General features: G+C 43.8%; 1 protein-coding gene across 2 annotated transcripts in view, besides 7 other annotated features; it reads right to left on the minus strand.

The window, feature by feature from the left end:
- NUFIP2 (nuclear FMR1 interacting protein 2) overlaps positions 1-24,523 on the minus strand; it is a 38,310-nt gene extending 13,787 nt beyond the window's left edge. The window contains exons 1-2 of one of the 2 annotated variants that reach the window (NM_020772.3): positions 24,158-24,523; positions 16,367-18,091 (exon numbers count right to left, since the gene is read on the minus strand). In NM_020772.3, the coding sequence (NP_065823.1) occupies positions 16,367-18,091; positions 24,158-24,434 (2,002 nt within the window). In that variant the 5' untranslated portion in view covers positions 24,435-24,523. Of the gene's footprint in view, positions 1-16,366; positions 18,092-21,152; positions 21,410-24,157 lie in introns of those variants that run through there. The other variant, XM_017024896.3, reaches the window with a different exon arrangement.
- Positions 19,975-20,475: an enhancer, noted in NCBI's record as "H3K4me1 hESC enhancer chr17:27616618-27617118 (GRCh37/hg19 assembly coordinates)". NCBI's record gives its function as "activates a minimal SCP1, AML or CMV promoter by ChIP-STARR-seq in naive H9 embryonic stem cells {active_cell/tissue: H9 hESC(naive)}" and the evidence as "EXISTENCE:reporter gene assay evidence [ECO:0000049][PMID:30033119]".
- Positions 20,476-20,976: an enhancer, noted in NCBI's record as "H3K4me1 hESC enhancer chr17:27617119-27617619 (GRCh37/hg19 assembly coordinates)". NCBI's record gives its function as "activates a minimal SCP1, AML or CMV promoter by ChIP-STARR-seq in naive H9 embryonic stem cells {active_cell/tissue: H9 hESC(naive)}" and the evidence as "EXISTENCE:reporter gene assay evidence [ECO:0000049][PMID:30033119]".
- Positions 23,192-23,371: a silencer, noted in NCBI's record as "silent region_8370". NCBI's record gives its function as "represses an Ori minimal core promoter by ATAC-STARR-seq in GM12878 lymphoblastoid cells {active_cell/tissue: GM12878}" and the evidence as "EXISTENCE:reporter gene assay evidence [ECO:0000049][PMID:35858748]".
- Positions 23,828-24,588: an enhancer, noted in NCBI's record as "H3K27ac hESC enhancer chr17:27620471-27621231 (GRCh37/hg19 assembly coordinates)". NCBI's record gives its function as "activates a minimal SCP1, AML or CMV promoter by ChIP-STARR-seq in naive and primed H9 embryonic stem cells {active_cell/tissue: H9 hESC(naive and primed)}" and the evidence as "EXISTENCE:reporter gene assay evidence [ECO:0000049][PMID:30033119]".
- Positions 24,002-24,121: a silencer, noted in NCBI's record as "silent region_8371". NCBI's record gives its function as "represses an Ori minimal core promoter by ATAC-STARR-seq in GM12878 lymphoblastoid cells {active_cell/tissue: GM12878}" and the evidence as "EXISTENCE:reporter gene assay evidence [ECO:0000049][PMID:35858748]".
- Positions 24,282-24,381: an enhancer, noted in NCBI's record as "active region_11970". NCBI's record gives its function as "activates an Ori minimal core promoter by ATAC-STARR-seq in GM12878 lymphoblastoid cells {active_cell/tissue: GM12878}" and the evidence as "EXISTENCE:reporter gene assay evidence [ECO:0000049][PMID:35858748]".
- Positions 24,692-24,891: an enhancer, noted in NCBI's record as "active region_11971". NCBI's record gives its function as "activates an Ori minimal core promoter by ATAC-STARR-seq in GM12878 lymphoblastoid cells {active_cell/tissue: GM12878}" and the evidence as "EXISTENCE:reporter gene assay evidence [ECO:0000049][PMID:35858748]".

Here is a 27,042-nt window from a genome sequence, read left to right on the forward strand (position 1 = left end):
CTCCCAGGTAGCTGGGACCACAGACACATGCCATTTGTAGAGATGGGGTCTTGCTATGTTGCTCAGGCTGGTCTATTGGGCTCAAGCAATCCTTCCACCTCAGCCACCAAGTCTGGCACTTTTTTTTTTGAGTCGCCCAGGCTGGAGTACAGTGGCGCGATCTCAGCTCACTGCAAGCTCCGCCTCCCGGGTTCACGCCATTCTCTTGCCTCAGCTTCCCGAGTAACTGGGACTACAGGTGCCTGCCACCACGCCTGGCTAATTTTTTGTATTTTTAGTAGAGACGGGGTTTCACCGTGTTAGCCAGGGTGGTCTCGAACTTCTGATCTTGTGATCCACCCGGCTCGGCCTCCCAAAGTGCTGGGATTACAGGTGTGAGCCACCGCGCCTGGCCAAGCCTGGCACTTTTAAAAAATATTTTTTACAGTACTCTCAGCTTTTTGAAAATTTGTCAGATCCATATACTGGGATCAATTAATAATTCAGGATGAATAAGATAATTATCCAGATAAAATCCCATTCAAGATATTACAGTGATTAAACCAAATCTGGGAGTTTAAAGGTGCCAATTGTCCAAGCTTAGTTGTATGGTATGTCCATCAAATCTCTGCGCAGACACCTATCCAAAGAAAGGCAGGAAAATTCCCTTTCTCCTGAGAGGTCTAAAAAGGGGAGAACTATAATCAATCTAACCTGGAGAAAAAAAAAAAAAAAAAGATGACGATCGGAAATTCTAGTCACAGAAATCACACTTATCACTCCAATATAATTTCTTATTCCATTAGTTTCAAACAACGAGGAACAGTTAAATGTTCTTTATTATCTTACGAATTTCTGGATTTCAGAATGGCCTATTTTTTAAAAGTCCAAATACAAGCCTTCTCTTGGTTGACCTACTGCAAAAAAAAAAATTGATCCAATACAACCAATATTTTTTATTTTAAAGCACAGAAATTTCATATTTTGTAGCAAATAAATTCCTGAAGAATTATGTATATAGTAATAACTTGATATTCATTTTGTCTACTGCAAAGATAAATCTATATTTAGTCATACGCTGAAAAAAAAAATTGGCCAGGTATAGTGGCTCACGCCTGTAATCCCAGTACTTTGGGAGGCCAAAGCAGGAGGATCACTTGAGGGACCAGCCTGGGAAACATAGGGAGACCCTGTGTCTATTATTAAAAAATAAATAAGAAAAAAGAAAGAAAAGAAAAAGTTAATCCAACTTTTCATGTTAACCACCTATAAGTAACATTTCCTTTTTTCTTCCCCACTGGAAACTCAACCTATCCCTGCACTTTCCCCTTTTTTTGAGAATACACTTCAGAGTCACAGTAACAACACTACTTTAAAAACAAAGCAAACATACATATTTTAGAATAAAGAAGGCAAAACAACTATTTGCAAACACCCAAGTTGAAGATACTTCTTTACTGCAGCTTAAGGTTTTACTCAAATACTATACATTTAAAAATGATTTATGATAAAATGTTATTACCCTTAAATGTGAGCTCTAGAGTAGTGAGTTTGATCATGACTTCTGAGGGGGAAATAGGGATGTATGATGTACCTATAAAACTAGCTATGAAGCAAGCCAAGCTTCTAGCAAAGAAATAAATCAGCATATTCCTGGTGCGGAGGGGCTCACATCTGTAATCTCAGCACTTTGGGAGGCCGAGGCAGGTGGATCACGAGGTAAGGAGTTCGATACCAGCCTGGCCAACATGGTGAAACCCCGTCTCTACTAAAAATACAAAAATTAGTAACGCATGGTGGTGCACGCCTGTAATCCCAGCTACTGAGCAGGCTAAGGCAGGAGAATCACTTGAACCCCGTAGACGGAGGTTGCAGTGAGCCGAGATCGTGCCACTGCACCCCAGCCTGGGCGAAAGAGCAAGACTCCGTCTCAAAAAAAAAAAAAGAAAAGTAAAGAAAGAAATCAGCATTATCAGAAATGCTGAACTAAGAAGTGAATGCAATTTCCCTTCCTGTTACTTAATATTAATTACTTCTTTGACTACTAGCAACTTCATTTACTTGATCAAAATTTAAAAGTTTCCCTGAAACTCAAACAAGGTTAGGATCAGAAAGGGAAAATGAATCAAACAGCATTTGCATGATGCTATGCTTAACCTTAACAAGACTAACAAGAAATGACATGGCCGGGCGCGGTGGCTCTCACCTGTAATCCCAGCACTTTGTGAGGCCAAGGCAGGTGGATTACCTGAGGTCAGGAGTTCAAGACCAGCCTGACCAACATGGTGAAATCCCATCTCTACTAAAAACACAAAAAAGTTAGCCAAGTGTGGGGGCGGGCACCGGTAGTCCTAGCTACTCAGGAGGCTGAGACAGGAGAATCACTTGAACCCGGGAGGCAGAGATTGCAGTGAGCCCAGATCACGCCACTGCACTCCAGCTTGGGCAACAGAGTGAGACTGTCGAAAAGAGAGGGGAGGGGAGGGGAGGGGAGGGGAGGGGAGAAGAGAAGAGAAGAAAAGAAAGAAACAAATGACATTATCGATAGAACACATAGGAAAGGGCTGACATTACCTTCTGTCCTCAAAAAAAGGTTACAAAAATCTCAATTCAGATTTTAAATATGAAATGTGTTCTTTTTTTTTTTTTTTTTGAGACAAGAGTCTTGCTCTGTCACCCAGGCTGGAGTGCAGTGGCGCTATCTCGGCTCACTGCAAGCTCTGCCTCCAGGGTTCACGCCATTCTCCCGCCTCAGCCTCCCGAATAGCTGAGACTACAGGCGCATGCCACCAAGCCCGGCTAATTTCTTGTATTTTTAGTAGAGACGGGGTTTCACCGTGTTAGCCAGGATGGTCTCGATCTCCTGACCTTGTGATCTGCCCGCCCTGGCCTCCCGAAGTGCTGGGATTACAGGCGTGAGCCGCTGCACCTGGCCCCTCGTTTGTGTGATTTAATGTTTTGACTATCCCTGAGAAGCAAAACAAGTGAATAGTATAAAGAAGGCTAAGGAAGGCAATTTGAATTATACAAAATCATCATACACATACAAGTTGAGTATCCTTATCTGAAATGTTTGGGACCAGAAGTGTTTTAGATTTTGGAATGTTTCCATTATATTATTGGAAAAGGAGCATTTCCTTTTTGAACATCATGTCAGTACTGAAAAATTTTGGATCTTGAAGCATTTTGGATCTTAGATTCTCAGATTTGGGATGGTCAACCTCAGTAACTGATTCTTTTTTTTTTTTCTTTTCTTTTCTTTTTTTTGAGAGAGTCTTGCTGTCGCCCAGGCTGAAGAGCAGCAGTGGTGCGATCTCAGCTCACTGCAACCTCCACCACCTGGGTTCAAGCTATCCTGCCTCAGCCTCCCAAATAGCTGGGATTACAGGCACACGCCACCAGGCCCAGCTAATATATATATATATATATACACACACACACATATATATATATAGGAGACAGAGTCTCACTGTCACCCAGGCTGGAGTGCAATGGTGAGATCTCGGCTCACTGCAACCTCTGCCTCCTGGGTTCAAGCGATTCTTCTGCCTCAGCCTCCCAAGTAGCTGGAACTACAGGTGCACGTCACCATACCAGCTAATTTTTGTAGTTTTAGTAGAGATGGGGTTTCACCATACTGGCCAGGCTGGTCTTGGAACTCCTGACCTCGTGATCCACCCGCCTCGGCCTCCCAAAGTGCTGGGATTACAGGCGTGAGCCACCGCGCCCAGCCAATTTTTGTATTTTTAGTAGAGACAGGTTCCGCCATGTTGGCCAGGCTAGTCTCAAACTCCTGACCTCAGGTGATCCACCCACCTTGGCCTCCCAAAGTGCTGGGACTACAGGCGTGAGCCATCACGCCCAGCCTTGATCTTTTAACACTGCTCTCTTCTACACACACACACACACACACACACACACAGACACACAGCACAAAATCTAACTTGCCAGTTCTTTTTGAAGAGTGATCACAGCATCTAATTATGCAAATATTTATTGAGAAATGCTCACAGGGCCAGACCTAATAGAACGTAAGTAAAAGTTTTTGCTCTTAAGATATACCCAAGTAGGCAATTAGACCTAATAGAACCTAAGTAAAAGTTTTTGCTCTTAAGATATACCAAGTAGGCAATTTTGTTAAAATTCTGTATTTTAAACCACTACCACCACCCAATCTGAAATTTCTTTACATCAAAACTTATATTTAGCTATGCCACTCAAATGAAAAGTTAATGTTCAATTTCCTAGAGCAGACTTTCTACATAATACCTCCCTATCACAATGCTTCCTATAGCGAAATGTCCAGTTTTCCACAAGTTCTTAATTCCAAGTTGATTGAAAAAAAAATACTACTCACCAGCTCAGGGTATGAAAAAAAAATACTACTCACCAGCTCAGGGTATAGATGCAAAACCAAAGAGTCTGCCCTCTGTGAGCTTACTCTAGTAAGCAACTTCACTGGGAGGGTGGGTTATCAGTAAGAGCATCAGCAATGAACAAAGGTCGGTGGTATGTGTGTGCTTTAACAAGGTGTGTTTGAGCAGGGGTGAACAAACAATTACTATCCACCATCTGTTTTTGCAAATAAAGTTTTAATGAGGGCCTGTGGTGGTTCACACCTGTAATTGCAGCACTCTGGGAGGCAGAGGTGGGAGGATCACTTGAGACCAGCCTTAGCAAGATGGTGAGACCCTATGTCTACAAAACATTTAAAAACTAGCTGGGTGTGCTAACAGCACATGCCTGTAGTCTCAGCTACTCAGGAGGCTGAAGCAAGAGGATTGCTCGAGTCCAAGAATTCAAGGAGGCAATGAGCTATAATCATGCCACTGCACTCCAGCCTGGGCAATAAAGTGAGACAACCGTGTCTTAAAAAACAACAAAAAAAGTTTTAATTGAACACAGCCACATCCACTGTATATGTACCATCTATGACTGCTTTTGAGCTATAATGCAGAACCAAGTATTGAGTGGTTGCAACAAAGATGCTACGGTTCACAAAGTCACTAAGAATGAGAGATTTAGAGAAAGAACATTATTCAGGGGACAGAGTAAAAAGCTACATATGAAGTAAAGTTTGTTATTTCATTATATAGGTGAAGGGAAGCCACTGAAGAAATCTAAGGTTATTGTACTAAATAGTGATGATTCTTCCAGGTAATGAACAGAACAGATGAAGTGACAATAATATACAGAGAGTCCAATAAATGTTAAGAAGAGATGAAGACAGTATGCGAGATAGAAAAGAAAAAAATGGAGATCTTAGAGAAATGGTCCATATCATCTAATGACAAAAAATTGGGTTAATGCTAATTCACTAAGAGCAAGAAAGAAAAAGCAGGTTTTGGAAGAGAATGAATTCAATTTAATATACATAGAATTGCAGCAATGATATGGAATATATACGGTCTGAACTCAGTTTTTTTTTTGTTTTTTTGAGAAGGAGTTTCACTCTCATTACCCAGGCTGGAATGCTCGATCTCGGCTCACTGCAACCTCCACCTCCTGGCTTCAGGCAATTCTCCTGCCTCAGCCCCCCCCAAGCAGCTGGGATTATAGGCATATGCCATCATACCCGGCTAATTTTTTGTATTTTTTTTGTACATACAGGGTTTCACCATGCTGGCCAGGCTGGTCTCGAACTCCTGACCTCAGGTGATCCACCTGCCTCGGCCTCCCAAAGTGCTGGGATTACAGGCATGAGCCACCATACCTGGCCTCTGAAGAAGTCTTAAGCCTAGTATATAAAGTAACAGAACTGGACAAGATTATCCAGGGAAATTGATGTAACATGAAAAGGGAACTCAAGGAACAACATTTGAGAAACAGAGAATGACCCCAGGAAGGTTATAGTAAAGGTATAGGATATAAGAGTGGGTAGAGTCAAGGAAATTCAAACTAAGGAATTTACAGAGGCAATGTTCAACTCTGGTAAATCTTAACCAAAGGTAAGACACTTGCAACTTTCTAGTCATCTCTTTTTCTCCAGCCCAATGTCATTGCCCTGGCTCAAGCAGTAGTATCTTTTCAACATTTATGCAGTTGCCTTTTAACTGGCCTCCTTTGCCATTACTCAGGCCTCATTTTCTGTCTTCTACAACCTGGCTAACCATTCTTTTCCTTTAAAAATGTAAATCTGACAGCCGGGTGCAGTGGCTCACACCTGTAATCCCAGCACTTTGGGAGGCCAAGGCGGGTGGATCACTTGCGGTCAGGAGTTCGAGGCCAGCCTGACCAACATGGTGAAACCCCGTCTCTACTAAAAATACAAAAATTAGCCGGGAGTGGTGGTGCGTGCCTGTAATCCCAGCTACTCAGGAGGCTGAGGCAGGAGAATTGCTTGAACCCAGGAGGCGGAGGTTGCAGTGAGCCAAGATTGCGCCACTGCACTCCAGCCTAGGTGACAGAGTAAGACTCCGTCTCAAATATATATATATATATATATCTGAAAGTGACCACATTGCTCAAAACTTTTCAATGGATTCTCACTGCCTACAGCAAAAGCTACTAGCACTGTGAAATTGAATTTGTGTCTCCTAGCACTTGACACAATAGCTAGTACATCAACAGATTAATTAGATAACTAACTTAAAGGACTTTAAACTTGTACCATTCATCTTCCTTTAAACAAACTGAATGGCTGGCAATCTTCAAACACTATTATTTCCTCCACCTAAAGTAATCTTACTCTCCAGGCACAATAAACAGACTAATGCCCACTTCTTTTCGGAATCCTGACTGCCCTTCCCTCACCTTGCCCCCATCTTAGGGGTTCCAATTACACTTGGCACAATCTTGGCTCACTGCAACCTCCACCTCCCAGGTTCAAGCGATTCTCCTGCCTTAGTCTCCTGAGTAGCTGGGACTACAGGCACGCGCCACCATGCCTGGCTAATTTTTGTATATTGTTTTAGGAGAGATGGGAGTTTCACCATGTTGGCCAGGGTGGTCTCTAACTCCTGACCTCAAGTGATCTGCCAGCCTTGGCCTCCCAAAGTGCTGGGATTACAGGTGTGAGCCACTGTGCCCAGCCAACAATAGTAATACATTTCTTTCCATATGTTTCACTATTAGACCAAGTTTCTTAATGACACAAACTCTCACCTCTCATCTATTTATCACTACTGCTTCTCACAGGGCTTGGTGCAGTAAGTAGATACTGATTTGAACAAATACTATTCATAAGTCAGCCAGGAAGTAATAATGTAACTGTAAACAGTATTAGGCAGACCCATTTGGCATTGCTCACACTCAACTTCTTCTGACCTACAAAAACAGCAATTTCATATAGTCAAACTGAACAGATACAGCATTTAATTATTAAATCCCTCAAGGAAAAAGACTGAAGCTAAAAGGGCTAAAGCTAACTAGAAGCTTATTTTTTGCATTTAAAAATGAATAATACTATTGTCTCAGCTAATAGAACATTGTTTGTTTTTGGAGACAGTCTCGCTCTGTCGCCCAGACTAGAGTGCAACAGCACAATCTCGGTTCACAGCAACCTCCGCCTCCCAGGTTCAACAGATTCTCCTGCCTAAGCCTCCGGAGTAGCTGGGACTACAGGCACGTGCCACCATGCCCGGCTCATTTTTGTATTTTTAGTAGAGACCGGGTTTCACCACACTGGCCAGGCTGGTCTCGAACTCCTGACCTCAGGGGATCTGCCCACCTCAGCCTCCTAAAATGCTGGGATTTGCATGTGCCACCACGTCTGAACCTAGAACATCTTTTAAAAATTAACATCTAAATTAAATGGCTCCACCAGAGATAGATAACAAATCAACATAATGCCAAACAAACTGACTCCCACAACTGAGAACCCCCAAATCAATTTATCACTAATCATGCCTTCCAATCCCTTATTAAGCCATTTTGGATCAAATTCTGTAAAATTCAGCAAGGATGGTGACATGGTAAATTAAAATTCTGCTTTCCCCCTCCTAATTCAGATTTGCCCATTTTTTGGATGATTACAGGTTATTGTACCATGTTTTGCTATTCTGATTTCCTTTTTCTTAACCAGTCTGCCATACTTGTGCCTATTCTTTTACAAAGAAGCTTGTCAGAAATTTCTACCACCCTTTTTCAGTTTGACAATACCCAGAGAGAAATATAGCATGTTTTCCGGCCAGGTGCGGTGGCTTATGGTTGTAATCCCAGCACTTTGGGAGGCCGAGGTGGGTGGATCACCTGAGGTCAGGAGTTTGAGACCAGCCTGACCAACATGGTGAAACCTCAGTCTCTACTAAAAATACAAAATTAGCCAAGCGTGGTGATGCAAGCCTATAATCCCAGCTACTCAGGAGGCTGAGGCAAGAGATCGCTTGAACCCAGGAGGTAGAGGTAGCAGTGAGCCGAGATCGCGCCACTGGACTCCAGCCTGGGCAACGAGAGTGAAACTCAATCAAAAAGGGAAAGGGAAAGAAAAGAAAAAGAAATACAGCATGCTTTCAAGTAATTCTGAATTAAGGTAGTTAGAAGTCACCACCTTTTCAGTAGACCCCTTAATGAACTCTTTTCTGAAGCTACAACAATCCAGGATAAGAAGAATTATCCAGACTACTCCTAAATAGAAACTCGGAACTCAAGTTGTTTTTGTTATTTTTCTCTTTTCTATTGCTCTTATTCTAATCTCATGTACTTTATTATTATTTTTTTTTGAGACAGAGTCTCGCTCTGTCCCCCAGGCTAGACTGCAGTGGCGCGATCTCGGCTCACTGCAAGCTCCACCTCCCGGGTTCACGCTATTCTCCTGCCTCAGCCTCCCGAGTAGCTGGGACTACAGGTACCCGCCACTGCGCCCGGCTAATTTTTTGTATTTTTAGTAGAGACGGGGTTTCACCGTGTTAGCCAGGATGGTCTCGATCTCCTGACCTCGTGATCTGCCCGCCTCGGCCTCCCAAAGTGCTGGGATTACAGGAATTGAGCCACCACGCCCGGCCCCCCATGTGCTTTATAAGGGTAAAAGTTGCTTGGAATGAAACTGCTACTACTATGATAGTAATAGCTTGGAATGAAACTGCTACTACTATGATAGTAATAAACAATTTCTGGTTTTGCTACTATCATTATAGTAACAGTGTCTGCTCTTCTTACAGCATAGATGGTTATTTCCCTCACACTCAGGACTTAAGCTAGTGAAATCTGGAAGTTAAATTTTAACTTCCAAAAATTCCTTACAAGTGATCTTTCACCAGTATCAAGGTGAATATATTATTACTGTATTCATAAAGCAGACATCATGAAACATCAAGCAGTCAGTATGGGTACTAAACAGCCAGTATGAGTTCTCTCACTGGGAGAAAGGGGACCTTATCCCATATTAGGAATTATTTGTTATATTCATTACTATATGTCCCACATCATTATATCCTCATAAACAAGTACCCTTTCCAAATCTAGGGAATCCAACCAGGGCTAAAACCAAGGCAAATCTTAAAACTGTCAAATTTGCAGGCACACATTAATAAGATTATTAGAAAGACAGCTGTGATGTCAAATAGGCATTCAGGAAGCAATTGCAATGAAATGCAGTAAACGTGAAAATACTTATTCACATTGTGTTTAGAAGAGAAAATTTAATATTCAGATCCTTCTCTGAACAATGTCCAAACTGTACACCTAGTCCTTGTCAATTTTATGGATTAATCATAATTTGTCTCTTCATATCCTGTTTCCCAAATCTTGTTATGTAATCTTATCTGTTCCCTTATGCCCTTTCCCAATCTAAAAGCTTTTTAAAAAATTTTTTTTAAAATTCAGATCATTTACATGGTTGAAAATACAAAGCAGAAGACCTTTATTATACCTCTGCCTGCACTATTCCAAGAAACTGATCTTCTAGTCAACAGAAAAATGGCTTCCAGTCTACCCAAATTGGTGCCATATTAATCTACCTCAACACAGATCTGTAAGTAATTGCTTAATACCAACTGTTGTATGTTTTTGAGACAGGGTCTCACTCTGTTGCACAACCTTGAGTGCAACAGCACGATTATGGCTCACTGCATCTTTGACCTCTTGGGCTTGGTGATATCCTCCATCTCAGCCTCCACATGCCACCATGCCCAGCTAATGCTTCAAATTTTTTTGTAGAAATCAGGACTTGCTATGTTGCCCAGGCTGATCTCAAACTCCTGAGCTCAAGTGATTTTCCTGCCTCACTTCAAAAATGCTAGGATTATAGGCAAGAGCCACAGTACCCAGACTATTTTTATTTTCATTTTTTGAGGTGAAGTCTTGCTGTGTCTCCTAGGCTGGATAGAGTGCAGTGGTGTGATCTCAGCCCACTGCAACTTCCACCTCCCAGATTCAAGCGATTCTCCCACCTCAGCCTCCCAATTAGCGGAGACTACAGGCCTGCACCACTATGCCTGGCTAATTTTTGTATTTTCATAGAGATGGGGTTTCGTCATGTTGGCCAGGTTGGTCTCAAACTCCTGACCTCAGGTGATCCACCCGCCTCAGCCTCCCAACGTGCTGGGATTACAAGTGTGAGCCATGTCCGGCCCCAGCCTATTTTTAAATGAATATTCCAAAATGTCAGCATTTCAAATGCTTCATATCCTTCAGTGCCATAACAGCCATGTAAGACAGATCAACCCAGTTTAAATTGGCACTGTGACCAAACACACAACTCATATCAATTATTATTTCCAAAGACTTGGCTTCAAATGACTTTCAACCATTTCAAAATCAAAAGTTTACTTCAAAAAGTTAGGATCTAGTGTTCAAAGCTTTTAAAGTCAAGTCAAAGAGAGGCTTGCTAAGCATTCTGAGATAACTACTTTTAAGAAGGCACAGTTATATGTCCCAGGTATGTACACTAAGAGCCATCACAAGCTAAGCATGGTGGCTCATGCCTGTAATCCCAATACTTAAGGAGGCTGAAGCAGAAGGATCACTTGAGGGCAGGAATTCCAGACCAGCCCAGACAACATGGGTGGTAGCGCAAACCTATGGTCCCAGCTACACAGGAGGCTGAGGCGGGAGGATTCCTTAAGCCCAGGAGTTCAAGGGTGCAGTGAGCTAGGATCATACCACTGCATTCCAGCCTGAGTCACAGGGTGAGACCCTGTCTCTTAAAAAAGAGCCATCACAGCCAGGTGTGGTGGCTCATGCCTGTAATCCCAGCACTTTCGGAGGCGGAGGTGGGCGGAGAACTTGAGGTCAAGAGTTCAAGACCAGTCTGGCCAACATGGCGAAACCCCGTCTCTACTAAAAATACAAAAAAATTAGCCGGGCACGGTGGTACATGCCTGTAATCCCAGTTACTCGGGAGGCTGAGGCAGAATCGCTTGAACCCAGGAGGCAGAGGTTGCAGCGAGCCAAGATCGCACCATTGTACTCCATCCTGGGTGACAGAGTGAGGCTCCGTCTCCAAAAAAAAGAAAGGAAAAGAAAAGTTAGGACAGGCATGGTGGCCCACACCTGTAATCCTAGCACTTTGGGAGGCTGAGGCAGGAGGATCCCTTGAGGCCAGGAGTTCAAGACCAGCCTGGGTAAAATACACAGACACCGTCACTATATGTATATATACATATATAAAAAATACAAGAATTAGCTGGGCAGCCGGGCACGGTGGCTCATGCCTGTAATCCCAGCTACTAGGGAGGCTGAGGCAGGAGAAATCACTTGAACCTGAGAGGCGGAGGTTGCAGTGAGCCGAGATCACGCCACTGCACGCCAGCCAGGGCGACAGTGTGAGACTCCATCTCAAAAAAATAAAAATAAAAAAATTAGCTGGGCATTGCGGTGCACACCTGTGGTCCCAGCTACTCAGGAGGCTGAGGCAGGAGGATCACTTGAGCCCAGGAGCTCAAGGCTACAGTGAGCTATGACCACACCACTGTACTCCAGCCTCAACAACACAGCAACACCCTGTCTCAAAAAAAAAGAGAAAAGTTAATGGCATAACATATTATATAAAAAGCTAAAAGAGGCCAGGCATGGTGGCATACACCTGTAGTACTAGCTACTCAGGAGGCTGAGGAAGGAGGAGAGCTTCAGCCCAGTTCCAGGCTGCAATGAGCTACGATAGTGCCACTGCACTCCAGCCTGGGTGACAATGAGATCCTGTCTCTTTAAAAAAAAAAAAAAAAAAAACAGCTAAAAGGAAAATCCCACACAAGGAATTAGAATCCACACAAATCCCGCCACCCCCCACCCTTTTTTTTTTTAGAAGGAGCCTTGCTCTGTCGTCCAGGCTGGAGTGCAGTGGCACGATCTCAGCTCACTGCAACTTCCACCTCCCGGGTTCACGCCATTCTCCTGCCTCAGCCTCCCAAGTAGCTGGGACTACAGGTGCCTGCTACCACGCCCGGCTAATTTTTTGTATTTTTAGTAGAGATGGGGTTTCACTGTTAGCCAGGATGGCCTCGATCTCCTGACCTCGTGATCCACCCTCCTTGGCCTCCCAAAGTGCTGGGATTACAGGCGTGAGCCACCGCACCCAGCACAAATCCCCTTTTTATGCTCTATTGTATCTTTACTTCATACCCTCAATTGTACTTAACACTCAAATTTTTAAAAATCCATAGTACGCTTAAGGTTCCAAGTAATTGCTTAATCTAAAAACTTCCTGTATTAAAAAAAGCCCTTGCCAGAAGCTGCCGCCATGCACTTGGACTTCCCAGCCGCCAAAACCTTGAGTCAAATAAACACCTTTCTTTGTTGGGTGCAGTGGCTCACACCCGTAATCCCAGCACTTTGGGAGGCCAAGGCAGGTGGCTCATGAGGTCAGGAGACCAGCCTGACCAACACGGTAAAACCCTGTCTCTACTAAAAATACAAAATTAGCCAGGCATGGTGGCGTGCACCTGTAATCCCAGCTACTCAGGAGGCTGAGGCAGGAGAATCGCTTGAACCCAGGGGGCGGAGGTTGCAGTGAGCCAAGACTGTGACACTGCACTCCAGCCTGGGCAACAGAGCAAGACCCCATCTCAAAAAAAAAAAAAACCACCAAAAAACAAAATAAAAACACCTTTCTTTATATAAGTTAAATAAATAGTGCACCATTCTTAAAGAAGTGACATAACGCACTCTCTTACCCACTATTTCCAAATTAAGTTGCTGAAGGGCTTATTTTTGAAGTCAGGAGAAATGCAGAGAACTTCCAATTCTAAGCCCAACTTCAACTACTCACTTAGAGATTACTACTGAACATCTGAAAACTACACTAAAGCACAAAGAAAATAATACAGATGTTCTTAAAGGATATTCCAGTAGCCCAACTGATTATTACTTCTTTTAGAGTTAACTTTAAAAAAAAAAGGCTTCACTTATAAAAGATCTCCAAATATAATTCAAGTAAAGAAAAATGAGTGGCCAATGGACTGCTAATGGACCAATCAACATTTGGCAGGAATTCAAAGAACTTGCTACTCTGGAACCCAATTGAACTGAGTATTATTTATTGTTCTAGAGGGGTAAAAATTTTGATGCCAATCTGATTAATTTCCAATCATGTCCAAATACAGAACTCAAGATGACACTTTACCTACAGCAAATTTTTTCATTAATACCAGCAAAACTAAATATAACTGCACCCATATAGGGGTATTCAGCTTATATAAATACCACTGATTTCATATTCAGCTAGCCCATGGATAGGGAAAATGCATAAAGAGTAAATTCAGGTTAACATTCCAATTTAAAAATGGCCTGCAATTCCACCTAATAGAAATTGTACATAAGAACTATTAACCAGTTACCTAATGGAACATATCCTACACATTTTGTTGTTTTGTTTTGAGACACGGTCTCACTCTGTTGCCCAGGCCTGAGTGCAGTGGTGCAAACATAGCTCACTGCAGACCTGGATCTCCCAGGGACAAGTGATCCTCCCTCCTAAGCCTCCCAAGTAGCTGGGACTACACATTGTTGCCCAGGCTGGTCTCAAATTCCTGAGCTCAAGTGATCCTCCCACTTCGGCCTCCCAAAGTGCTGGGATTACAGTCATGACCCACCACACTGGGCCTCCCAGAATATTTTGGAGGTGGTAAGAGAACACAACACAACCAGATACCCTCTCAGGCTCACACAATGATCGCCAGTGCAAAATACTTCGGTAAACATTTTCCAGTAATAGTCTCTAGAGGGCAGACGGCACAGAAAACAATACCAAAAAACCCAACTCTCCTGGCAGAGGTTAACTAATGTATAACACATGTCTTAAAAAACGAAGCATTTATCTTTTTGCCCTAACATTGCTAAAAACAACCAACTCCTGTATTTACCTTCAAAGAGCAGAGCTGGAGAATAAGTGAAATCAGGTAAATGTTATCTGTGAGGATTCCTAAACTTCCATTAAGCAATTCTACTACTTCCATTTTTAAGGAAGTAAAATGATATTAAAAGGACATCTATTTATTATACTCAATGTCTTCCAGCTTGCAGATAAGGAAACGTATGCAGACTAGGAAATTTGCTTAGAAGTCACAAATCACTTTGTTATTCATCCCTGAGGCAGTATTTCTTCCAGAGAGAATATGGTAATTACCCAATTCCCACAATCTGGTATGGTCCCCTTTCCCTGCAATTGTAAGTCACTGCCTAAATGAGCCACTGTTAAAATGGGAATGTGCACTATGTATTAAGTGTGTACATGCATGCATGGAGCATACATTTCTGTTAGAGAAAGGAGGAAGAGGTAGGAAAGATGGGAAGACTGAAACCCACTGTTCTCAAAAGCAAAAGGATATAAACATCATCGTTAAACCTCATTATTTGCTCTAAGGATTTAGATTACAGTTATGCCATACAGCGAATTTTTCTTTAAGACACAAACAAACCACATTCTAAGAAAGTGATTAACATGAGGCCTGGCACGGTGGCTCACACCTGTAATCCCAGCACTTTGGGAGACCCAGGTGGGTGGATCACCTGAGGTCAGGAGTTTGAGACCAGCCTGGCCAACACGGTGAAACCTCATCTCTACTAAAAATATAAAAATTAGCCAGGCGTGGTGGTGGGCACCTGTAATCCCAGCTACGTGGGAGGCTGAGGCAGGAGAATCACTTGAACCCGGGAGGCGGAGGTTGCAGTGAGTCAAGATTGCGCCACTGCACTCCAGCCTGGGTGACAAGAGTAAGACTCCATCTCAAAAAAAAAAAAAAAAAAAAAGAAAAAAAAGAAAAGAAAGTTATTAGCGTGAAACTTGAAAGATACCTGGTTCCCTTTAAACTTGGGCTTTAGGGCTATGAAAAGGAGAATCCCAAGAGCCTGGTCTCAACTATGCTAATCATACTTGACACTGTGATTTGTCTAACTTATTTTCCAGTTACAAACTGGCATCCATTACTCCAAGACTTATCAGTCTCCTCTTCAAAAACAGTGCTTCTACTCATTTTAATCAAATTAGAACTATTAAATGAGCTCACTATTAAAGACGCATATGATATAAAAAGCAAAGGAGAGGCTGGGCACGGTGGCTCACACCTGTAATCACAGCACTTTGGGAAGCAGAGGCGGGCGGATCACGAGGTCAGAAGTTTGAGATCAGCCTGGCCAACACGGGGAAACCCGTGTCTACTGAAAATACAAAAATTAGCTGGGCGTGGTGGCGCATGGCTGTAATCCCAGCTACTCGGGAGGCTGAGGCAGGAGAATCACCTGAACCCAAGAGGCGGAGGTTGCAGTGAGCCAAGATCACACCACTGCACTCCAGCCTGGGTGAGAGAGTGAGACTCTGTCTCAAAAACAAATAAGCAAATGGGTGTGGTGGCTCACACCTGTAATCCCAGCACTTTGGGAGGCCGTGGGTGGATCACAAGGTCAAGAGGTCAAGACCATCCTGGCCAACATGGTGAAACCCCGTCTCTACTAAAAATACAAAAATTAGCCGGGCATGGTGGTGCGTGCCTGTAATCTCAGCTACTCAGGAGGCTGAGGCAGGAGAATCACTTGAACCTGGGAGGTGGAGGTTGCAGTGGGCCGGGATTACGCCACTGCACTCCAGCCTGGCAAGAGAGTGAGACTCCATCTCAAAGAAAAAAAACACAAAACAAAACAAAAAAGCAAAGACAAAAAAGCCACGGAAGGAGAACATATGTTCAATAAAATTTTTTTTCAAGCACTCAGTCAAGAGAAAATATAACATCAATACCTTTAAGCAAGTTCTCCTCACTTCTGTTCTTTGAACCAGGTAGGTCAATTATGTTTGTATTTTTAAAAATCCTTTTAAGTTGGAAAAGTGAACATTTCTTCTAAATTTTAATCATACTAGTTCCAAGGACCCTGAATTAGTTTGACACCAGCTGCTTATCCACATTGTCATTCTCTTAAAATACTCTTAATATGAACAACTAATTCTCTTAAAATTCTCTTAATATAAACAATATACTAAATTGGCCAATAAAAATCTTTGTATAGGAAACAAATGAGTTACCTTTAGTGTGATATACAATAGCAGCCCTCAGGTCAAAAGAACCCCAGCTATCATTCCTTTCTAGGCCTCTCTGGTATCTCTGTTCTTTGGCAGAGCCTAACAAAGTGTTCGTAGGAGAGGCCAGAGGATTTTGACTTTCTATCTCGTAGTCCTTTGAGAGAAACACTAAAGCACCTTGACTACTGGTGTCTGCTTTCTGCAGGTCACCTATATGACTGGGTTCCAAGGATAAGGCTCCACTCTCACTAGTAGTCCCAGATTTTAGAATGCTACCCAGAACTTGAGGACTAGTCCGTTTCTCCAGCTCGTAAGCCTTGGGAAACACAGGATGCTCAGTTCCTGAGGGAATTATTTCAGCACCCTGTGAAACCAAAGTAGCAGGATATTCTCCTTGAAATGTCACCTCCATCACTTTATGCTCTGATGACTTCCCAGTAACAGTCTCAGGGCCAGCACTGGGCTCATTTATAAATGATAAACCCCACTGATTCTGGAAGATATCCCCCAGGTTTTGCTGATCTGTCTGAGAGGGCAGATCCACTTGTGCTGTGCTCAACAGCATAGTTTGCATATTTGAAGGATAGATAAAAAGGCTAGTCTTAATTTGTTCAACAGCTGCTGAAGTTAGACTCATGTCCTGGAGAACTGAATCTGTCCCAGAAGAGATGGGTGTTAGAGTATTAGCAGCAGTAGTTAGCAGTGGCTGACCCCCTGGAGGATAAACATTTCCATCAGTCCCTGCTAAAACAGGCCCATTAGAAAAGTTGGCAGAAGTAACAGATTTCAGCGCTGACATAGGGACCTGGGATAAGCGACTTGATGATTGGGTCTGAGTTTCCCCGGTAGATGATGAAGATGATGAAGATGAAGTTGGTGACACAGAAGAGTTCTGTATAGTTTTGTTGAGGTTTTCCTTAACTTTGCTTGCATAACTTATTTTAGGAACTATTTTAGCACTGCTATTGTCCACTGGAAAAACTGGGGGTGGTTTAAATAGGGTCCACGAGTCCTCTTTGGAGGCAACAGCTGAAGCATGCTTTCCTTTGGGCCGATCATCAAACTTTTTGCTGCTCACACCAGGTTTACTATCTGAGCTTTTCCGAAGCATATCACCCACAGCAGGTTTTCCTCGACTTGTTCCTCCAGGCCCAGTTTCATACTTCCAAATGGGCTTCGAACCATCTACTCGATTTCCCTTTTGTTCACTATAGTCAGGCTTGAAAGTTTCAAGTCCCTGTTTTAAGGTTGGGACACTGGTCTCTTGTTGCATTATTTTGTCCTGCACTATATTAAGGTTTTCACAACCCTTGGCACTATTGCGCCTAGCTTTCCTTTTTTTAGGAGTTGTATATCCGCTCTCAGATCCACTACCATCATTATCTGCTCCTTTACCCATATAACCATTAGTAATATAACCAGAATTATTTGTTACCACACCATTTGGAATTGGTATAGTATCAGACTTATCTACAGACTGATTCTCTCCAGATTTATTTTCATAAGACTTCCCATTCTTTTTGTCCATACTGTTTTTCTGAATGAAATTCTTGGTTTTAATTCCTGCTTTCCCAAAGGTGTTGGCCTTTACAGTCTGCTTCAGGCTAGTGTCTACAACTTGCTGGTTGCCATTGAGGACCCTGGAAATAGGGTTGGTGGCTTCATCAGAACTCAGGTTCTTTAAAGATATTTCTCTTTCTCCAGCATTACCGTTTAGTTCACCATAGCCTAGGGGAGGGGAAAAAAAGGATTAAAAAAAAAAATCACAACATGTAAATTACACTAATACCTAACATTTAAGAACTATTTACTGTATGCTAGACACTATGCTATGAGCTGTAGCTTTATATTATTTCACATCTCTATGAGAAGACACCTGTCAGCCCCATTTTACAGACTAGGAAATGCAACCTACTGCTAAGCAAAGCAAGAGGTAGAACTCAGCGAAGATTCAAACCAAAGTCTGAGGCCAGAGAAGACAAGACCTCTTAAGCAGTATGCCAAATACCTCTCATCTAACAGAATCAATCTACCCATCACTCTCACAAGGCTGTTATAAAATTTTCTTTTTTCAAGACGGAGTCTCACTCTGTCGCCCAGGCTGGAGTGCAGTGGCGCTATCTCCGCTCACTGTAAGCTCCACCTCCCGGGCTCACGCCATTCTCCTGCCTCAGCCTCCAGAGTAGCTGGGACTACAGGCGCCCACCACCACGCTCGGCTAATTCTTTTTGTATTTTTAGTAGAGACAGGATTTCACCATGTTAGCCAGGATGGTCTCGATCTCCTGACCTTGTGATCCGCCCGTCTCGGCCTCCCGAAGTGCTAGGATTACAGGCGTGAGCCACACGCCCGGCCTAAAATTTTCTTTACAATTCAGAGCAGAGATGCCCTCTGGGCAAAAATCAAGTTTTATTGAAACAGTAATTATTACAAGGAAATTAAAGACTTCATTTCTACAAAACCATAAATAGCTGGTAGTCACTATCAGCAGTTTCCAAGGCATCTATCAGACAAATATCTAACACTTGTCAACTTTTTCTAAAGTATTCTTAAATTTCATTTTGACATTTCCCAGATATTGGATATTGTTAATACGTGAAACCAAAATATCTACGTACCAATGTTTCCAACCTTTATAAAACATACTTTCTTCATTTTACATTTAGATAAAAAGACTTTAAGAGAGATGAAGTAAATTGCCCAAGTCAAAGTGACAGAACTGGAAATCTGACCGCCAGTCTATCTGCAATCCATGGTTTCCTATCACTATGTAATACTGCCTTGACTCAAAAGATGCAATGAGAAAATATTTACTAACAAAACAACAATAAAAAGAATCCAATTTTTTAGTGTTATGGTATTCAGGTTTAATTAAAAGTCTTCAACTGCCAGTGGATCATGTCTGTAAACATAGCACTTTGGGAGGGCCAAGGCAGGCAGACTGCTGGAGTTCAAGACCAGCCTGGGCAACATGGAGAAACCCTGTCTCTACTACAAATACAAAAATTAGCTGGGCGTGGGGCATGTGCCTATACTCCCAGCTGGGGGAGCTGAGGGAGGAGGATAGCTTGAACCCAGGAGGTCGAGGCTGCAGTGAACATGCACTGAGATGGCACAACTGCCTTCTAGCTTGAGTGACAAAGTGAGACCCTCTTTCAAGAAGAAAAGAAAAAAAAACCTTCAACTACCATAAAAAGTCAATTCTATTATAGGTGATTCAAATAGTTTTCCACTGTAACAAAATGGTGCTATTAGTTATCTACCTTTTTATGAAATGTTCATAAAAGCATCTTGAGGTCAAGTCATTAGAAACAGATATACAGGCCGGGTGCAGTGGCTAATGCCTATAATCCCAGCACTTTGGGAGGCCAAGGTGGGTGGATCATTTGAGGTCAGGAGTTCAGGACCAGCCTGACCAACATGGTGAAACCCCGTCTCTACTAAAAATACAAAATTGGCCAGGCATGGTGGTGCACGCCTGTAATCCCAGCTACTTGGGAGGCTGAGGCAGGAGAATGGCTTGAATCCGGGAGGCAGAGGTTGCAGTGAGCCCACATTGGGCCACTGCACCCCAGCCTGGGCAACAAGAGCAAAATTCCACTTCCAAAAAAAAGAAAAAAGAAAGATACACAATAGAAGGACACTCCACACACATTTAAGGCAGCAGGAAGTGAGGAGTCTAATAGGAATACTGCCATTTTTATAAGTCTGAGAACCATTGTTCCAAAATAAATTAATGGAGAAGTCTATTAGATTCACAACAGGACTTACTCATTCTACATTAGAAAAAAAAGTACAAATACTAAAACTGAACAAATAAAGGCATTTTCTTCTCCTGTATTAAAGTAACCCAAGAAAACATACTCAAGGCATAATCATTCCTAAAACAGACTGGCACAAAACTTGTACCACGAGAGAATACATCTTATAACAGTTATTTTTTTTCTTTTTTTGAGACAGATTCTCGCTCTGTGGCCCAGGTTGAAGTGCAGTGATGTGATCCCAGCTCACCACAACCTCCGCCTCCCAGATTCTCCTGACTCAGCCTCCAGAGTAGCTGGGATTACAGGCATGCACCACGATGCCCAGTTCCGCCACGTTGGCCTGGCTGGTTTCGAACTCCTGACCTCAAGTGATCTGCCCGCCTGGGCCTCCCAAAGTGCTGGGATTACAGGTGAGAGCCACCACACCGGCCTCTTAGATTTCTTAGAACTCTTAAGAGTTCTTAGATTCCACAGGGTTACATTTTTAAAAATTTTTTGGCTGCTGGAAAAGCTATGATAGCCAATCAAATCAAATTTTTGGTGGCACAATTTTAACTATGAAACAGCAAGAAAGAGATTATTGCTTAGGATGTTTTCTAAAAGCTTTTTTCCTCAGAAAAATCCCAGGCACAGTGGCTCACATCTGTAATCCCAGCACTTTAGGATCCCAGGCAGGTGGATCACTTGAGGTCAGGAGTTTGAGACCAGTCCGGCCAACATGGTGAAGTCCTATCTCTACTAAAAAAAAGAAAAAAAAAATCAGCTGGGCATGGTAGCATATGCCTGTAATCCCAGCTGAGACAGGAGATTCGCTTGAATCCAGGAGGCAGAGGTTGCAGTGAGCCGAGATCATGCCACTGCACTGCACTCCAGCCTGGGCCACAGAGTAAGGCTGTGTCTCAAAAAAAAAAAAAAGAAAGAAAGAAAGAAAGAAAGAAAAGCATAAAGTTCCTAAATAAAGGCTCTTCTCATCATTTTTAACAGATATAACTTTATCTCCTTACCTAACTCTGGATAAGACCTACCTGTATCATTTAATATGCTAACAGGTTAAACAAAGGTTTGTATCCTTGGGCCCATTAGTCACAACTTTTCAGATTTCAATTAAAGATGAGCAATCTGAAATAGCAAAAAATCCAATCTCCAAACTGAGCTGAACCAAAGCTAACAAGAATAATTCTTCCTAAGATTACTAGTATGTAGCGACTCAGATACTGGAAATCACCAAACAATGAAAAAACGGCTTAGAAGCCACTGTGCTCCCGCCCGCAAGTTTTAATAACAAAAAAAAAAAAAAAAAAGAAAAGAAAATCTTGTTTAACTACATAAAGTTTTTCTCATGACAACCTTGTGATATGTATGAAGTATGCTGGAAAGAAATTTTCTTTTTAAATAGTAGATATTTAAGAAAAATGTAAACATTATAGAATAAATTTAAGAAATTAAAGGATTCCTAGCGCTTTATTTAGGGCTGCTTATACTAACCCTACTTCCAAAAGACTCAGCAAAACTTGAGTCCTGATACATCTAGCTTTTCAATTAGAAACAAATTACTCAACACATTTGGCCTTCTCTTGCGCCCTCTTCTGGATTAAAAAAAACTGTTCCTCTTTAGGTTTGTGAGCAATGGATTACCAAAGCCTACCTCAACATGTTACAGATAAATTTCAAAAATATTGTAATGTTTTCTTAGTTATTAGCATTATGCATGTCAAAGCAACAGTACTGTGACCAAATCATACACTCGCCCCAAACTGTTTACATTCTGTCAAAACTGCTAATTCCAGTTTCCTCCTCTTTATCCACCCCTTCCAAGACAAGAAATATTTGGAGGAATACCACCTTGAATGGTTCAGCGGTTGCTTCCACATGTAGAGAGAAGTCTGGCAAGAGTATATTAACCTGACCGATGAGATACAATTTTTCAATCTCAACAGTAATATTGCCTTATGCAGCCATAATATGGTAGTATTTTCTCATCTTTTGAACAAGATCTAATGCTAAAAAATCTAGTTATATAGTCCCTAACAGTTTTTAAACTGTTCCAAATCTTTAGGATTAAAACACCTAACTCGTGCGTATGTGTTCACTTCTATTGCATACTATCGGGTCCCTACGAAGTCCCAAAATGGAAAATCTGACATTCTAATTTCAGTCTTCAAGTTACAATCTGCAATAAAAAAGCACTTAGTATTTCTCCAGCTCTCAACAATTCCTTCTATCAAATTTGATACGCTGGGTTTAACATACGCTTTCTTACGCTTCATTTCTCTTCGATTTATAAAGAGCCCTTATTTTTTAAAATCTGCGTGGGTTATAAACTATTAAACTCACTTCTCGTGAAATACTTTCTTACATGACTTTTACCCTCAATTTCTCGTTTATTAAGATTAGTTTGGGGATCAATATCGATTTTAAAATACGAAAAACACCTTTCTTTTTAACACGGAGAGAAGCCTCATCCGAGGCAAGATGGTAGTAGTCTAACCTCATGGATGAGCCACTTGGGTTCACCCTTAAGGACAAGAAAGAGGGGTCAAAAAGCTCGCACTCTTCCCCATCCTAACATTTTTTAAAATCCCTCACCTCAAAGACACTACCCAAGCTCAGAAGGTAAGTGCTGGGTCGGGAGGGGAATGGAACAAGGTTTTTGGATTTTTTTTTTTTTTTTGTAGAAAATGAGCTGCTAGAAGGAAAAGGCCCAAGTGAAAGCCTCAGAGGCGGAGTCGTGAGCGAACCTGGCAGGAGACGAGGTTCCTGTGGCAGAGAAACTCGTGACCGGGGAGCTGGGTTCCCGCTGGGTACCCCACCCGGCCTCAGGCACCGCCTCTACCCGAAATGAATCCCCCCGCCGCCCCCCCAGGCCTCCTGCCTCTAGGAGCGCCGCGGCCGCCGCCCGCGGCCTCCTTCCCTCTCAGCTCCGCTTCGAGGCCGGCTCCCCGCCCCGACTGCCCGCGCCTCCCGCCGCACCCGGGAGCGGGAAACGCGGCCGCTGGCGCGCGGGGCCCTGCGCAGGCCGCTCCCCTCGTGGCCGCTTCCCTCCCCCACCCCAACCGCCCCCGCCCCTCACCCCAGGGACCCGCCCGGGGCCGCGCGCCGCCACCGGGTTACACAACCCCGGCCGGCGACGGGGGGGGGGGCGGCCGCGGTGCGGGGGGCGCCGGCGCCCCCGCAGTGCAGGGGGCGAGGCTGCGGCCGGTGGTGATCCCGGGTCACCCGGCTCCGCCGCCCCGTGTGGCCCTCGACACCCTTCCCCCTCCGCTCCTCAGTGGGCCGGAGTCGGTGACAGGAATCGGCTTCCAACATGGCGGACAGGAAGCGGCCCCGCGAGGAGGAGAGAACATTCCAGCCGCGCCGGCTCTGGGGGGAGCGGGCGCGGGGCGCCGGCCTCGGGAGGAGCCGCGGGACAAGACTGCGGGGTCCGGCGCCCAAAAAGGGCGTTTAGTGGTGGAAATGACCCGTGAGATGAGGGGTCCCAACAGCCCCCCCCACCGAGACGGGGAGCCCCAAGGCCACAGGTGGGCTTGGGGTGGCGGGTGAGGGGCACTTCCTCAACTCACCCTACCTACCCACTCCTCGCCGCCTGCAAAAGGGTCTCGCGACACCATCCGAGTCGGGATTCGCTAGGCCTTCCTGAGTTACACCTCGAGGGATTTTTTGGGGGGGTAGGTTTACCCCATCTCAGGGCCCCCAAATTGAGGTAACTCCAGGGACGCAGGGAGGTGAATGGGAAAAGAATAATGAGGTTGGACTTGCAAGGCCGACCCAGCAGGTCTCCCTTCAGCCGGGGCCGGGGCCAGGAAGGTCACGCTGGCCTGGCTGGGCCTCTCCCATGCTGGAGGGAAGGAGAGGGCGCTGCAAACCCCATTGCTCAGCCCGAGCTCTAGAATGAAAGGGGCATCCCCAGAGCCGGAGGGGACACACACACACACACCCCGACCCCGTCCGCGCTTTTCGGATCCAGCCCCACCCCCATCTCTCCTGTCCTCCACCCCCAACCCCCTTCCCCCACCCGTCCTCCCTCCCAGACCTGTTTTCTTCTTCGGCGTTTCCTGGTGCTGCTGGAGGGTGTGTTTCTGCTCATGTTTCAGCGGCTTTGGCTGGGCCTTGGGGCTGCCCTCGGCTCCATGCTGCAGGTATTGGTGAGGCTGCTGGTGATGATGGTGGTGGTGGTGGTTGTGGCTGTGGTTGTAGAAATAATAATGGTGGTGGTGGTGCGGCTGCTGCTGCTGCTGCTGAGGGTGATGGTGCGGATGGTGGTGGCTGTGATGGTGCTGAGGCTGTGGCTGGCCGGGCTTCTCCTCCATTGAAAGCGGCTGGGACTCCCTGGCTGAGGCTGCGGGCTGCTGCACCGTCAGGATCTGAGACTGCTTCTCAGGGCTCACTCAGTATATCTGAGCGCGTCTCGCCAGCGCACTGGTTAACCGAGCGATTCTGCGAGATTGGCAGCCGCACTCCAACAATCAGGAGCCACGCTGTGCCGCAAGCCCCGCCCCCAGCTCAAATCCTCTTTCCTTCCCCTTCGCCGCTGCCGCCTGGCCAACGCCACTTACCCTGTGCAACCTCACAGGGCCGGGCCTTCAACGTCAGCACTATGGCTCTCTCTTCTGTCGCTTTCTCTCCTTCACCACGCAGTCTGTGAACAGCACTTTCTACACTCCTCGCCGGCAAGCAGGCTCGTGTCGAGGGTAGCAGATTCCACTGGCGATTCCACTGGTGCTGTGAGCCATCTGCTGGCTTTGCACCTCTTAGAATCTGGTGTTTTTTTGTTTTTTGTTTTGTTTTGTTTTTAATCCTTTTCCGGGTAACCAGAAAGGGAAGCTCAATTCCCTTAACCCCGAGACCACTAAAGGGGCAATACAAAAAGAGGAAATAAATACATTTTTAAGCATACAAGAGCTTCACAATCCAGTAGATCATTTTGTATTCTGGATTCATTTTGCTTTGTATTCATATGCTAATCTCTTCCTTTCCACGAAGGGATTATAGGGTTCCACAATGGGGTATCTGTGTAATTTTCTAAAAGGGCACAAAGGGTTTAAATCATTGTTTCTTTGTAGTTGGAGGCAAGGGAGAGCAGGAGGAATGAAAATTTACACTGAAGGTTTTTTTTTTTTTAATTAAACTCTGCAGGTGAGGTCAACTGTGGAACCAAAATAGGTTTTAGAATGAGAAGTTTCAAGAGCAAAGGAAGGGGAGAAAGAGCACTTAAAAGTTATTAAGTGGGTTTGTTTTTTTTTTTTTTGGCACTTATGGAAAAATTGAAATTAAAAGAAATATTCTGTAGCGTTTTGTAGTGTAGATTTAACTTATCCTGCATTACCACATCACAGTATATGATTTTCAAAAGCAAATGTTAGAGCCATGATAGTGGTTACTCAGGAAGGAAGAGGGTTGTGATGGGGAGGGACACAGGTTACTCTGATAATATTTCATTTTGGGGGCTAGGTGGTGATTACATATATTTGCTTAGTAATTATTTGTTAAACTGAATATACAGATAAAATGCACTTTTCCCAATGTATGTTATAGATTGGGGGATTTTTTTAATTGTAAAATATTCATAATATAAAATTTACCATCTTAATATTAAGTGTATGGTTCAGGTGCATTAGGTACATTCGTATTGTTGTAGAACCATGACCATCATCTATCTCCAGAACTTTTTCATCATTCCAAACTGAAACTTCATACCCAATAAAAATAAATGTCCTTTCCCTCCTCCTTCCATCCCTTGATAACCACTGTTCTGTTTTCTGTCTCTACGAACTTGACTATTCTAGGTACCTCATATAAGTGGGATTGTACTGTATTTGTCTTTTTGTGACTAGCTTTTTTGCATAATGTCTTCAGAGTAGCATACATCAGAATTTCCCTCTTTTTTAAGGCTGACTAATATTCCATTATATGTATATACCACATTTTGTTCATTCACTCAGCAACGGACATATGGACTGTTTCCTCAATGTATGTTACGTTTTTGAATTTTTAAAATGTGGCTTGAATTCCTACAACAGGACAACATTAAAGGAACAAGAAGCTTGAAAGCAAAAAGTTTATGCTATGAAATTAATGAATGTCAATGCAAAAGCTTATTTAAAACGTAAAAGCTGGTTTCCAATAACAAATGTCATTGAATCCTGAAAACCATGACCAAATTTTGGCATGTTCTATACAGTAAGGATTTGTGTTGCCTTGTTAAATTTTATTTTATTTTATTTTGAGATGGAGTTTTGTCCTTGTTGCCCAGGCTGGAGTGCAATGGCATGATCTCAGCCCACCGCAACCTCTGCCTCCTGGGTTCAAGCAATTCTCCTGCCTCAGCCTCCTGAGTAGCTGGGATTACAGGCATGCGCCACTGTGCCAGGCTAATTTTGTATTTTTAATAGAGATGGGGTTTCTCCATGTTGGCCAGGCTGGTCTCGAACTCCTGATCTCAGGTGATCTGCCCACCTCAGCCTTCCAAAGTGCTGGGATTCATGAGCCACCAGGCCCAGCCAGCTTTGCTAAATTTTAAAGAAAAACCTCTTTGGGGGTACATTTACCCAATTTTGAGAATGAAAACCCTAATAATAATATCATATCACAATAAGTCTTTACCACTGAATAATATTCTGCCACGTTCCCAATTATTAAAGAAAAAACAGGTCAGGTGTGGTGGCTCACACCTGTAATCCCAACGCTTTGGGAGACCATGGCAGATCAGTTGACCCAGCAGTTCGAGACCAGCCTGGGCAACATACAGAGACTCTCTCTCTACAAAAATTTTTAAAAATTAGCCTGGCATGGTGGTGTGTGCCTGTAGTTGGGAGGCTGAGATGGGAGGATGACTTGAGCCCTCCAGGTGGAGGCTGCAGTGAGCTGTGATTGTGCCACTGTACTCCAGTCTGGGCAACAGAGCGAGATCCTGTCTCA

The sequence above is a fragment of the Homo sapiens genome, chromosome 17 (genome assembly GCF_000001405.40).
Source record: "Homo sapiens chromosome 17, GRCh38.p14 Primary Assembly".
NCBI lineage: Eukaryota > Metazoa > Chordata > Mammalia > Primates > Hominidae > Homo > Homo sapiens.